The following is a 13,295-nucleotide window of genomic DNA, read 5'->3' as shown; positions in this document are numbered from 1 at the left end:
TGGTGAGGAGCTGCCCGTTGGGTCTGAGTTTCTGGGAGGGGAGAGGGAGAAGCTGGGTGAGGCAGGCATGAATCTTGAGGAGTCAGGGCTGGGGGACCGCTCATATTCTCCCGAGACCTGTGAGTCTCTGGGGGACTCCTGGGTGCATGGGGCTGACTCCCGCAGGAACCTGGGGATGGCTGGAGAGTAACTGGGAGCCACAGGAGAGTCCCTGAGGCCTGGGGGTGAAGAGACGAAAGACACAGGGGTGGAGCACCGTGAGGCCCGTGAGTTTGTAGGTGATTCCTGGGTGTGGGGGGCTGACTCCAGCTGAAATCTGGGGTTGTTTGGAGAGTAGCTGGGAGACACAGGAGACCCCCCGAGAGCTGGGGGTGAGCTGCTGGGTGATGGCAGTAAGAACATGTGGTATATTATTGATGAACGTGGGGACTCTGAGGAATCCTCAGAGGAGGACACGGGAGAGCCCGATGGCTTCATTGATTGCCCATCACGGTGAGGACAGGGAAATGCGAGCTTGTGGGATTCTGGTGATGACAGAGGTGAGTGTGGTGAAGCCCTAGGGGATGGTGAATGGCAGCTCCGGATCCCTGGTGAGGAGCTTCCCCTTAAGCCTGAGCTTCTGAGAGGGGAGAGGGAGAAGCTGGGTGAGGCTCGCATGGACCTTGGGGAGTCCGGGCTGGGGGACCGTTCATAAGAAGAGCCAGACAAGACCCTACTGTTCTTAGGTGCAGACATGATTAGGAAACCTGCAGCTCCCAGGGGCCCCTACTAATTTTCTAACTCGCAGAAGGAAGGAGTGTGTGTGCGTGGGTGTGAGTGTGTGCGTGTGTGTGCGTGTGTGTGTCTGTGTGTGTGCGGTGTGAGGTATGTGCCCCTTAAGAAAATGGAAATCAACCAACCAATGAGACAGACACACAGACAGACAGACAGACAGACAGACAGACAGACAGAGATTCACTTGCCCAAGTGTTCTGTCCTGTCCTCTGAATCCGCTTCCAAGTCGCAAGACGCCGTGAGCTCCAAGTCCACGCAGAGTCCGCCAAACGCTCCGGCCGCTGATCCGCTCCGCGAAGATCTGAGTACAGGCCAGCCAGGGTGGGTTTAAATACCCTCGGGCGCAGCCTAGCAGCGGAAAGGGCGGAGCTTCACCCCTCCTTTCCGTCAGTCACCCCCAACTTTCCCAGGCTACACCTCGTAGGAAACTGTTCTCCTGCTTTGATTTCATGCGCCACCTTTTGGACAATCTAACAACTTCCAAGTTTTCTTGGCCAGATATATTAGGAATTGTATGCACTGAAACACTGAAAACCAACTAGTGGTTCTGTGGTTCCCACGTTGTGGTTTTGACACCAGCAGCATCCTTGCCACAATCAAACCCCGGAGATCCACAGATCTGTGTTGTAACAAGACCTCCCCCTGACCCTGATGCATGGCAGTTTAAGAAGTCTTTCCGTGTAAGCGAAAAGACTTTGAAGAAAGGGTGGAGATATGCGTTGTATAAACATTCTTTTGCTCCGGAACCACGTGGAGTCTTGGGAGCCAGTTGGGTGGAGCATTCGTTGGATGAGGGTGCTCGGGTTCGGAATATCAAGGTGTGGTTCCAGATAATCCAATCATCTAATTAAGATTCCAGTTGTGCTCATGTGTTTTAAAATTCCGTTTGGGTAAATTGTTTTAGTCAGACTGAGAATGGCAAAGCCTCAATCCCAATTTCCAGGGAGGGTTGACAGCCTCAGGTGGAGTTGATCACCAATAGCCTATGGTTTAACCCATCATGCCTATAGAATGAGGTCTCCATAAAAACCCAAAAGGACTGGGTTCAGGGAGCTTCTGGATAACACTTCCTGGAAGGTAGTGCGCCCCTCCCCACATGCCGGGCCCCACATTTATTTCTGAGCTTTTTGCAATGTCCGCTAAAATACAACGGCAAATGTGAGTGTTTCCCTGAGTGCTGTGAGCTCTTCCAGCAAATGAATGCAACTAAATCTGGGAGTGGTGGCAACCTGATTTATAGCAAGTTGCTGAGAAGCACAGGTGAAACAAAGTAGGGCTTCCCATTGTTATTAGTGTGGGAGGCCTGTCTGGCGGGACTCGGCCCTTTGGAATCTAATGCTATGTCCCGGTAGATAGCGTCACCATTGAATTAGAAGACACACATATGTTGAGAATAATCTTTCTGGTCATTTGCCGCATGTCCTATTTACAATATGTAATCAAATTCTTTATCCTGACCTTATGGCACCTGGGTTGAGAACCATGATTTGAACCAAACATTGGTCTGTCACTTTCGGAGTTGGAAACTTTATTTTGCCTTTAGCGTTTTGCTATTGCTTTTTCGTTTTCTTTTGTTTCGTTTCGTTTCTAAGTGCTGGGGTATACGTGCAGGATGGGCAGATTTGTTACTAAGGTAAACGTGTGCCATGGTGGTTTGCTGCACCTGTCAACCCATCACCTAGGTATTAAGCCCAGCATGCAGGAGCTGTTTTTCTTAACGCTCTGCCTCCCGAAAGGCCCCAGTGTGTGTTGTTCCCCTTCCTGTGTCCATGTGATCTCATTTTTCAGCTCCCATTATAAGTGAGAATGTGGCGTTTGGTTTTCTTTCCCTGGATTAGTTTGCTGAGGATAATGACCACACATCACCACTGATTTGTTTTTTAGTATAAAGAGTAGTATTTTATTGAATAAGATTTGCTCACAGAAAAATAAGCTTAAATCTACAATGAATGCCAGACTCTACAGCAGAAAGCAATTTTCTCACTTTTCCACACACAATGGTTCCTACTAAGTGAAAAAAGCCATAAAATTTCATTCACAAATGTACTACTCTGTCTCAAAACATCTCACATAATCATGCACTGTACTAAAGCCATTAGATCAGTTCTTCAGTCAGGTTAAAGAAGTATCCCTCTAATAACTGACTTTTATAATGCTATCAGTAGGCACTCCCAATCAGTCTGCCATTGTTAATGGTGTACAGCATTACTGTATACACTGGAATTGATGACACCCATATCCACGGACAAGCCGAGACTTATGATGGTTTGATTCATGATTTTTCAACGTTATGATGGGTTTACTGGAATATTAGATGCGTTTCTGAGTTACACTGGGTTTATGAGTATGCGACCCTATACTCCAGAAACAGCTGTATAAGGAAAAACAGGTGTACCTAATAAAAATGTGCTTAGTGACTTGGGATAAACCAATAGATGTTCACAACTGATGGAGAGCCGTGAAAGAGAGATAGCGGTACATAGTTACAATAACACAAGTTTCCTGCACCTGTCGAGGATTTCCCCAAAAAAACGCAGAATGTGGGATGCACCTAAGGCATATGAAAGAGAGAGGGCAGAAGGAGTAAGAGAGAAATAGGAGGAAGGAAGGAAGGAAGGAAAGAAGGAAGGTAGGAAGGAAGGAAGGAAGGAAAGAAGGAAGGAAGGAAGGAAGCAAAGAAGGACGAACGGAAGGAGGAAACACCCGGTGTTACTAAAACCCCCAAAAAATATGGTTTCCCCCTGTGGGTAAGCCTACAGTGTGGATGAATCTTGAAAATATTGTGCTACGTGTTATGTCAGTCATAACAGCTCACCTATTGTGCAATTCCGTTTATAGGAAATGTCCACAATATGGAAATCTATGCATATGGGGTTGATCGCACTAGGTAGTTGCTACCTAGGGCTGAGGGTCAGGGAGAGGGTTTGAGACAGAATGAGGAGTGACTAATGTCTACAGGGTTTTTCTCTGGTCGGGGGTGATAAGACGTTCTACAATGGATTGCGAATTAAAATTGAATGTGCACAACCACAGGTATACTAAAAGCCACTCAATTCATGACTTTTAATGGGGGAAAAGTGAAAAGAAGCAATCACAGGTATATGAAAATTTAAGTTCTTGTTTAATATTAGGTTTTTTTTTTTGCTTTACTAACAAAGCATAGTCCAAATGACATGACCTTTCAGACTATACCTTTAGAATCCAATAGATCATAATTTTATATGTAATTTTTAAAACATCATAACCAGTTATGAAACTTAAGATATTCTTACTATCTCGAGTAACTATTAGTTATTCTAGTAATTCTTAGTATCTCTAGTAACTCATAGCTGTCTTTACCCTTGGAATTGAGGCAAGAAATTTTCAGAATTATCTTGCTGTTTTATTTATATAACCTTACTCATAATACACAAGGTAACATGAAGTATTGGGTCATATTACTGAGGAATAGAAATTATGAACAGTTTAACAACAATGGCCACTGAGTTAAACTAGTGTTAAAGGAGTCATCATTGCCAGTGCTTCAAATGTTGCAGTTTTATATTGCTGGTCACCAGTGCCGAGGTTAAAGATTTATTCTGTTTTGTGGTCACCAGTTGACTTCTGTGTCTGTGTTCAGGGAGTGAATGGGGTCATAAAAGTCAATGCAGTTGCCTATTAAGAGAATCCTACCTTGCAGAATGGGACCTTTGGTGTCAGGGTGTGAACAATAACTTTATTTCAACATAAATACATAGTAAACATTACTAAAATTTAAAAAATCCAAACCCTATCACTACCGGAACTTAAAATATATTAAAAGTGGATATAAGCAGAAATTCTATCTAGATACATAACACTATCATAGTATATCATTTGAATTAGAATTTAAAATTTTGATTCTCTTTCTTATTGGTGTTCAGTTTAGCTCTTAATAATTTAGTGTTTGCCTAGTGCTCTAGTTAATCTTCAGAAATAAACATGCACTGTAGGGGCTTACTCTTTCTGGTATGCTGAGGTAAAGTCTTTGTAAGAGAGGGAGCTTTTATAATACTACCTATCATCTTTGAATTCATTTCTGGTAGATTTTACACAAATGCATTAAGTTTAGTCCAAACAGACACTGAGAGTTCAGCTTGCTGGTTCATGTTTCTGTCCTATGTTAAGCCAAGGCAAATTATTTTTCACTTTTTAGTCACAATCCCATAATTTAAGAGTAGCAACACATAGATTAAGTTTCACAGTTAAATTTTAACTATTTTCTAATATTACTTTGTTTATACTTGATTAAAGCTAATTTTAAAACATGCACTCTGACAGAAAAGACATCTGAGAAACAAAACAAGCAAATTTGTTTTCCATTTTGCACCTGCCCCCCCCCCCCCAAAAAAAAAGTCTCAAGAACCAGAACTGGGTAAGAACAGTGATAAAGGGAATCAATCTATATATTCATGACTTTCTTTAATATTCATTACAAACAAGTTCAAGCTGAATATTGGTAAAAGTTCTGAAAACTCCAAAATCACTGCTTGCCCTGAGGAAGAGCTCCTACATGGTAACTCTAAAGAGGGATGAACAAAAAAGGAGTGCCCTCTAGTCTGATGAATCATGTCCCTGATTGTGAGGAGAAAAATGTATCTGGAGGGTCTAGCTCTGTGGCAGTCCAGGCAGCGCCTGAACAGAGGAAGCCCATGTCAAATGTCTTTTTATTCGATTCACACTCTAGGTCCCTGAAATACACTTACCAGTCATCTTCTAAGCTTCATTTAAATTAAAATAAATCAGACTATAAAAATGATAACAAACAAGACACACAGCTTGTTTCTAACACAGATGATGGAAATTTTTGTTATGATATAGAAACTGAAAATGTAAGGAACCCAGTAATTATGATTGAAATGAAAGATGATTAAGAGTTTGACATGCAAATGGAAAAATATATAAACCCAAATACTACTAATTGGAAATTAGACATTAGGCATTGGTCTCAGTCTAGAGATCCAGAAAGTCTTTTTGATTTGTTGTTTACCCACCCCAAAGAAATGAAGCATATGATTCAGATAGAAAGTCACAGTATTTCTGCTGCTACAGATACTTATAAAAACAGAAAACCAACATAGTGCTTATTCCAGAAGCCGCTGTATGACAATCCCAGTGTTAATAACTACAAAACCATCAATCTTGAATTATAAAATGCGGGTTATTCTTTGCCACATAGTGAGAGAACATCAAAAATATAGCTAGAAGACTTACAGCAAGATATTCCAAGGTCACTAACATAGCACATGTATACATATGTAACAAACTTGCACATTGTGCACATGTACCAGAACTTAAAGTATAATAATAGTAAAAAGAATGAGGTAGGCATGTTACAAGTAGAGTTCCTGGCTTTGGAGAAAGAGAAAGTCCAACTTCAAAAAGACAGAGGTTCACTTGCTGCTTCTTTTTTCTCTTTATCAATTATTTGATTTAGTCAAATTTTCTATTCAAGAAAATCTCATGTGTACAGTTACAGCGGGGTTTTCTAAATGTGTAATTATGTGTCAAAGTAGATTAGTTCTGCTATCTAAACAAAGGTTCTGGAGAATGTTCTCATAATGTTTCTTCATTAATCAACCTAAGTCTCACTCTCAGTCTTCCAAGTGGCATATGAGCTGGGAAACTAATTCAGCCATATACCATGTGACCTTCTGAACCAGATCAACATAAAGAAATTGCTAAAGAAATAAGCTTTAGATTCTAGATTCTTTTTTCTGTATTCATCTAGAGATGAATTACATTTATTTGATGATAGAATGGGAATACAATGAGAGGGAAGCAATGACTGAGATGAGCCACAAAAACACGTCTAGCCTTGAGAGTTGCAATGAATATTCCCAGCCAAATGAGTCTGTTTAATGTGTTTTCATGCACGCCAGTTTATCTGCTTAGCTCAAACTGTTTGAATTTATAGTTCCATCATGGTTATTTCCAATATTTTGAAAACAAATATATACATCCACATATTTTAAAAAATCACCACTCCAATATTTCTGTTGAATCAGACCTTACATTATGTTGTTTAATAAAGTATGGTAAGTTTTGGCATGTATGATTTTTATCATGTAAGAAAGAAGCATAATTTCTTAGCTAAAAATTTAGCCTTTGACTCTTTAGTAGAAAGTTGAGTTCTGTACATTGTGTTCTAAAGATAGACAAAAATCTAGAGATTTTCTTCTTTCAAAGTAAAAGCAGATGAGGCCTTTTCCCACCCTCTGAGGTGTTAAATTGCTTTGCTCAAGTTAGACTTTTAATATATCTGACTAATTTGATAAATTTATCTGGTAATTTATGTAATTCAGCAATATGGAATTGTATCATGTTATTTGGTGCCGTGAAATGCTAGGGAATGCCACCTCAAGAGCTCTGGATGAAACATTTCATATGTCTTGGTTGGTTTGACTCCCATTTTCAGTAGATAATGGGGCTAAAGTAGATAACTGTACCGTATGTTTTCCACCTATAAACGTTTGTGGTAATTGAATGTGAAATCTGGGAAGCATCTCGTTTTCCAGAATTCTGCACTAGAAACTCAGCAGTTTCACTCTGCTTCTTGTGTTGTGGCAAACATTGGTTCCCATAGTTCAGGGAGAACTTTCACTTTTTTGATATCCCAGGATCCAAAAAAAAAAAAGAGAGAGATAAAAGGCAGTGGGGAAAAGAATAGCTCAGTGCAGAAAAGGGAAAACTTCTTTACTCTTCCTGAAGGCCTACAAGGTCACTTCCTCTTAATCTGGCTATTTCATGTAAAATCCAGGTGGCAAAGACAGAAGATATATGTTATGCCTGTGTCTTTTTATTTCTCTGTTTCTGCCAGTCAGATAGCATAAACATTTATATCAGATAGCAAAGAGTGGATGCGAATAAAAGCACAAAATGGAGAAGAGTCTTTTTTGAAATTTTGGAAAATTATTCCATTCACTCAAACAGAAATGAGCAGACTTGACAAAAATTTCAATGATAAAATGATAAGTATCTTATAATTATTATGTATAATGATAAAGTAAGCACAAAATAGTTTTATCATTAAAATGGTGATAGTTAACCTGAATCAAGTGAAAAAATCAGGGAAAAAGGTTTTATAGAATAAAATAATAATTATTATTCATATTACTTTTATTAAAGGTCAAAGAAGGAAATAATACAAACAAAAGTGAAAAAATACAACTATCAGAAAATGTATGTCATAGTACATCTTCTGCTGCTGCTGACAGATTAACCAAACAAAGAAAGGTTGGGAAAACGTATCCTCAGCAATTTCCCAAGAAACTGAAGGAAGAGCATGATAGGTAAGTAAGCCTATAGCAGTGTGTTTTTGTTTTTTTGTTTTGTTTTGTTTTTTTCTGAGATGGAGTTTCTCTCTTGTTGCCCAAGCTGGAGTGCAATGGTGTGTTCTCACCTCACTGCAACCTATGCATACTGGGTTCAAGTGATTCTCCTGACTCAGCCTCCCTAGTAGCTGAGATTACAGACATATGCCACCATGCCCAGCTAATTTTTTTGTATTTTTAGTAGAAATGAGGTTTCACCATGTTATCCAGGCTTGTCTCGAACTCCTGACCTCAGGTGTTCTGCCCACCTCAGCCTCCCAAAGTGCTGGGTTTACAGGAGTGAGCCACCGTGCCTGGCCACCTATAGCAGTATTTATCAGCGGATAATTGTCATTGTGCTATAAACTAATTCAAAATTGGACTAATGTTCCTTATGATTAACAAGTTTTATAGTTTTACCAGGGATATTTAGCCCTGCCTGGTAATCAGAAAAATGCAAATTAACATAAAATAAGATATATTTTGTAAAGTCATGCTGATATTGAAAAAGTAATTACTACCATTGAAAATGTGAGGAAAAAGGCATTCTCATACACTGTTGGTATATGAAATTGGTAAATTATTTCTGAAGGGTAACTTAGTGCTGTGTATCAAAATTTCAAATAACCTGACATCCCTTTAACTCAACAACTCCACTTCTGGGACTAGATTTCACAGGAAAACATAACTTGTGTAAACATACACACACTTATTAAGGGCATTAATTATATATTACACATAATGAACAATAGCTTAATAAATATATAAAATATATGTAATAAGAAGGTGAATTGGAAGTATTAAGAAAGAATTATAAAAAGTGTGGGGTAACAGATGTTAGACTCTTTAGCCTAGTTTTAGATGACAATCATCTGCAGATATAGTTTGTGTGAGAGACATCTTACTCTGTAAATCATTTGGAGAGACACATACAATATTTCATAGAGATGAAAATTTATTTCTAGTGAACTTATACACTTGTCAATAAATCGTAACTTTAAAAATTTAGTTGATTGTAAATGATCTTTTCTAATCGGGGAGTAATTATGACTGTGTGATTTGAAAAGGTAATTTTGAACTTCTAACTATACTGAATTATTTCCAGTATCCTTTTTTATAATACATACTAGAGTGACTAGTAACAAAAACTTTAGCAGAATATTCTTTCCTTACTACTTTTCAAGTATATACATTCGTTTGAAGATGTTGAAGTGAGAAATTAAATATCTGAGAACTACAAAGGAAAAATAATCCAGCACATAGAAATTTTATTAGGATGATAAGGAGCATCTGCAGAGGTAGATCACAGGATGATCTCTTTGTTTTTTAACAAAATGAATTTTAAGATAAATGTCTTTATCTGCAGATGCATCTTAAGACAAGAAAGTGAAGAAAAAACAAATGTTAATATGCTGTACAAAAAAATAGAGAAGAATTAGAAAGGAAAGAGAAACAATATAAGAAAGAAGTTGAAGCAAAACAACTTGAACCAACTGTTCAATCACTAGAGATGAAACTGAAGACTACAAGAAATACTCCAAATCAGATAAATCAATCTTTGGTAAAAATTCTATATTTTAAACTTTATTTTATCAATGTTACTTATAATATCCTCTTGATTTAATATATAATATTTTGGTCTAAAACAAACCAGAAATGTTATCTCATTTTCAAAAAATGAATGATGACACTTACAGGTACAATTATTAATATTTATTATAAATCATGGCATCCACATAGGATATTATTTTATTACAAAGAGCTTTTGAAAACAATAATATGCCATAATATATACTTAGTGATAACCTATTGATAAAGATTTTTTCCCAGTAAAGTTGTTCCTTGTACTTCCCACTATTTCATATTGATTACTGTACCTAATACTATAAAGAGGAAACAAATTATTGCAATCACAAGTAATCTCATTATATTCTAAGAAGAGCTCTATAAATTTTATCTTATTTACCATTGGTGTTTTGAAATAAAAGTATTCTTTCGTATTGATACATTTACACCACAGAAGTAACTGTGATCTGTCAGAGAACTAGAAGTAGAGTCAGAAGTCCTGGGGAAAATCCTATAGCTTGCTTATATTTTTAACATCTCTTTTTCAAAATTGTGGTAACTAGATGAGTTCATCAATGAATGTATATAGGAGTGACTAGTATAATGTCTAGATTTATGATTTAGTAAATGTAATTCTTACAACTGACTATAAAAGTGTTAAAAGAGTCAAATTGAAATAGAATGTTATCAGTGAAACAGAACTGTAGTAACTCTGGGAAATTTTATCTGTCCAAATACGTGTGAAGTAAGTTTCTTACTATAGGGTGGTGTATGGGTTAGATATCAAAGTGTAAATGCAATTTTTTGATATATTTTAATTTAGTCAAATTTGTTAATGCCTTAATTTATGCTTTTGAGTTTGTTATAATTCAGGGAAAGGCTTTTCCAATTCTGAAATTCTTAAAAATTCTCTGGTGTGCGTGTGTGTGTGTGTGTTTACTTTTATAAATTCATTGACTTTAAATAAATTTCTGAACTTTTTGGAACTTATGCTCTATAAGGTTCAAAGTCTTGCTTCAACTATTTCTCCAGTTGGATATCCACTTACAGTAAGCTTTTTAGTATATGGATGTGCAGGTTATTCTTTAACTTCAGAGGTAATCATGATATGTTATTTTATTGAGTACTAGCTAAAACTTTCTTTTGTTTTATTTAGGATTTTCATAATCACGAAGAAATGAAAGATCTGATGGATGAAAATTGCATTTTGAAGACAGATATTGCTATACTCAGACAGGAAATATGCACAATGAAAAATGACAACCTGGAAAAAGAAAATAAATATCTTAAGACGTTAAAATTGTTAAAAAAACAAATGCTGTCCTTGAAAAGTATATAAAACTCAATGAGGAATTGATAACAAAAACAGCATTCCGGTATCAACAAGAGCTTAATGATCTCAAAGCTGAGAATACAAGGCTCAATTCCGAACTGTTGAAGGAAGAAGAAAGCAACAAAAGACTGGAAGCTGAAATTGAATCATCAGTCTAGACTGACTGCTGCTATAAGTAAACACAGTGAAAGTGTGAAAACAGAAAGAAACCTAAAACTTGCATTAGAGTGAACACAAGATGTTTCCGTACAAGTAAAAATGAGTTCTGATATTTCCGAAGTAGAAGATAAGAATGAGTTTCTTACTGAACAACTTTCTAAAACGGAAATTAAATTCAATACCTTAAACGATAAGTTCCGTAAGAAAAGAGATACTCTCAGAAAAAAGTCATTGGCTTTAGAAACTCTCCAAGCGACCTAAGCCAAACACAGCAGCAAATAAAGGAAATGAAAGAGATGTATGAAAATGCAGAAGCTAAAGTGAATAATTCCACTGGAAAGTGGAGCTGTGTAGAAGAGAGGATATGTCAACTCCAACATGAAAATCCGTGCATTGAACAGCAACTAGATGATGTTCATCAGAAAGAGGATCATAAAGAGATAGTAACTAATATCCAAAGAGGCTTTATTGAGAGTGAAAAGAAAGACCTCATGCTAGAAGAGAAAAATAAGAAGCTAATGAATGAATGTGATCATTTAAAAGAAAGTCTCTTTCAATATGAGAGAGAGAAAGCAGAAAGAGTAGTAAGTATCAAGGAAGATAAATATTTTCAAACTTTTAGAAAGAAAATTTAAACATTTGGTTCTGGATACATGTTGAACTTAGTTGAATATAAAAATCAATGGATAAAAAGTGTGTTTACCATACTGTATAATTCCATTTACATGAAGCATCCAGAAAAGATAAACGTATAGGGACAAAAAGTAGACTAATGTTTGCAAAGGGCTGGGTCTGAAAGCTGGTAGTGACTGCTAATGGGCGTGAGGGATCTTGCAGTGATGGAAATGCTGTAAAGTTGGATTGTAGAGATGGCTGCACAACTCAGTAAATGGACTAAAAAATCTTTTAACCTTAAGTTAAAACAGATACATTCTATAGTATGTAAATTATATTTCAACAAAGCTGTTTTAATAAAAAAAAGGAAAACCGTGTTTACTATACCAGCTTAGAAACGTGTCTCATTTCTAGGAAATCAAAGGTAGAGGTGAGAGATGATTTACTTTGAGAAAAGACATTGTGTCACCTATGAAATTTTATTAGGCACAGAGTCGTATTTTAAGGTAGATAGTTCTGTACTGCTGAAATAATAATTTTAATGACTTTATGTTGCCACATGTTAAGACCATAATGTAAGTATAAATGGAAATGTTTACACCTGAAATGAGTATTTTCAAATTAAAATTTAATTGATTTTCTTTGACACTTAATTCTAGATTTCCCAGATGAACTGAAGTGTATTGCTTTGTCTTGTAATACCTTGCTTTAAGTAGCTTTTTATGTATTTTAGTTGGTATATCTTTGTTATTAATCATATTAATTTAACAAATCTGAAAATATGTCAAATTACATATTTTTATGACTATGTAATGTTTTAAAGGCACCTACTTGTTATAAAATCATAATTTAGGATACATGTGGTAATATTTAGCAAAATTATATTTGGTTTAGTCTTCCCACTGGTATTCATAGTTTACTTTGAATATTTATATTAATAATTAGCTCCTAATTTTTATTTCAAGGCTCAATGACTATCATTGGAATATAATTTTGTTCAGTACAAAGATACTTGTAACTGCCTGTGATTTATGAGTAAGGCATTAGATCCCTATTTTCAGACTGAGGGGTGGCAGGCTTCACGTACAGTGGGAATGGAGTAATTGCAGGAGGGAGTTGTAGGAGCTTTGAAGTCAGAGAGGGATGTAGAGACCTGTTTACCTAGGACCTCAAAGGCCATTGAAATTTTACTTTTATTCTGAGATAGGAATCTGTTGGAAGGATTTGAACAGGTGATTGAATATGTCAGGAAGTTTGAGGTTGAGTTGAGCTTCTAAGATGATTGAATGGTGGGATGAATCTGTTATGTAAGTAAGAGAATACCAACTTGGCAGGAAGAGAACATATTGTGCATCCCTCACTGAATTCAGTAATAAATAAAAATGTGTACATGTGATTAAAAGAAGGTGAATTTATATGTGTGGTGATAATTTTCAAAGTAGGTATGTTAGAGTTAAATATTATTAACATAATTTAATAATAAGGCAATTTATAAAATCAGTAACAAAAATATTTTC

General features: G+C 36.6%; 1 pseudogene, besides 2 other annotated features; it reads left to right on the top strand.

Moving 5' to 3' along the window:
- Positions 2,951-3,451: an enhancer, noted in NCBI's record as "H3K27ac hESC enhancer chr4:49512509-49513009 (GRCh37/hg19 assembly coordinates)". NCBI's record gives its function as "activates a minimal SCP1, AML or CMV promoter by ChIP-STARR-seq in primed H9 embryonic stem cells {active_cell/tissue: H9 hESC(primed)}" and the evidence as "EXISTENCE:reporter gene assay evidence [ECO:0000049][PMID:30033119]".
- Positions 3,452-3,952: an enhancer, noted in NCBI's record as "H3K27ac hESC enhancer chr4:49512008-49512508 (GRCh37/hg19 assembly coordinates)". NCBI's record gives its function as "activates a minimal SCP1, AML or CMV promoter by ChIP-STARR-seq in primed H9 embryonic stem cells {active_cell/tissue: H9 hESC(primed)}" and the evidence as "EXISTENCE:reporter gene assay evidence [ECO:0000049][PMID:30033119]".
- Positions 7,917-11,995, top strand: ANKRD20A17P (ankyrin repeat domain 20 family member A17, pseudogene; annotated as a pseudogene).
- The last annotated feature ends 1,300 nt before the right edge of the window (positions 11,996-13,295 follow it).

Source organism: Homo sapiens, chromosome 4 (assembly GCF_000001405.40).
Source record: "Homo sapiens chromosome 4, GRCh38.p14 Primary Assembly".
In the NCBI taxonomy this organism is placed as follows: Eukaryota; Metazoa; Chordata; class Mammalia; order Primates; family Hominidae; genus Homo; species Homo sapiens.
This window is presented reverse-complemented; position numbering and strand designations above follow the sequence as displayed.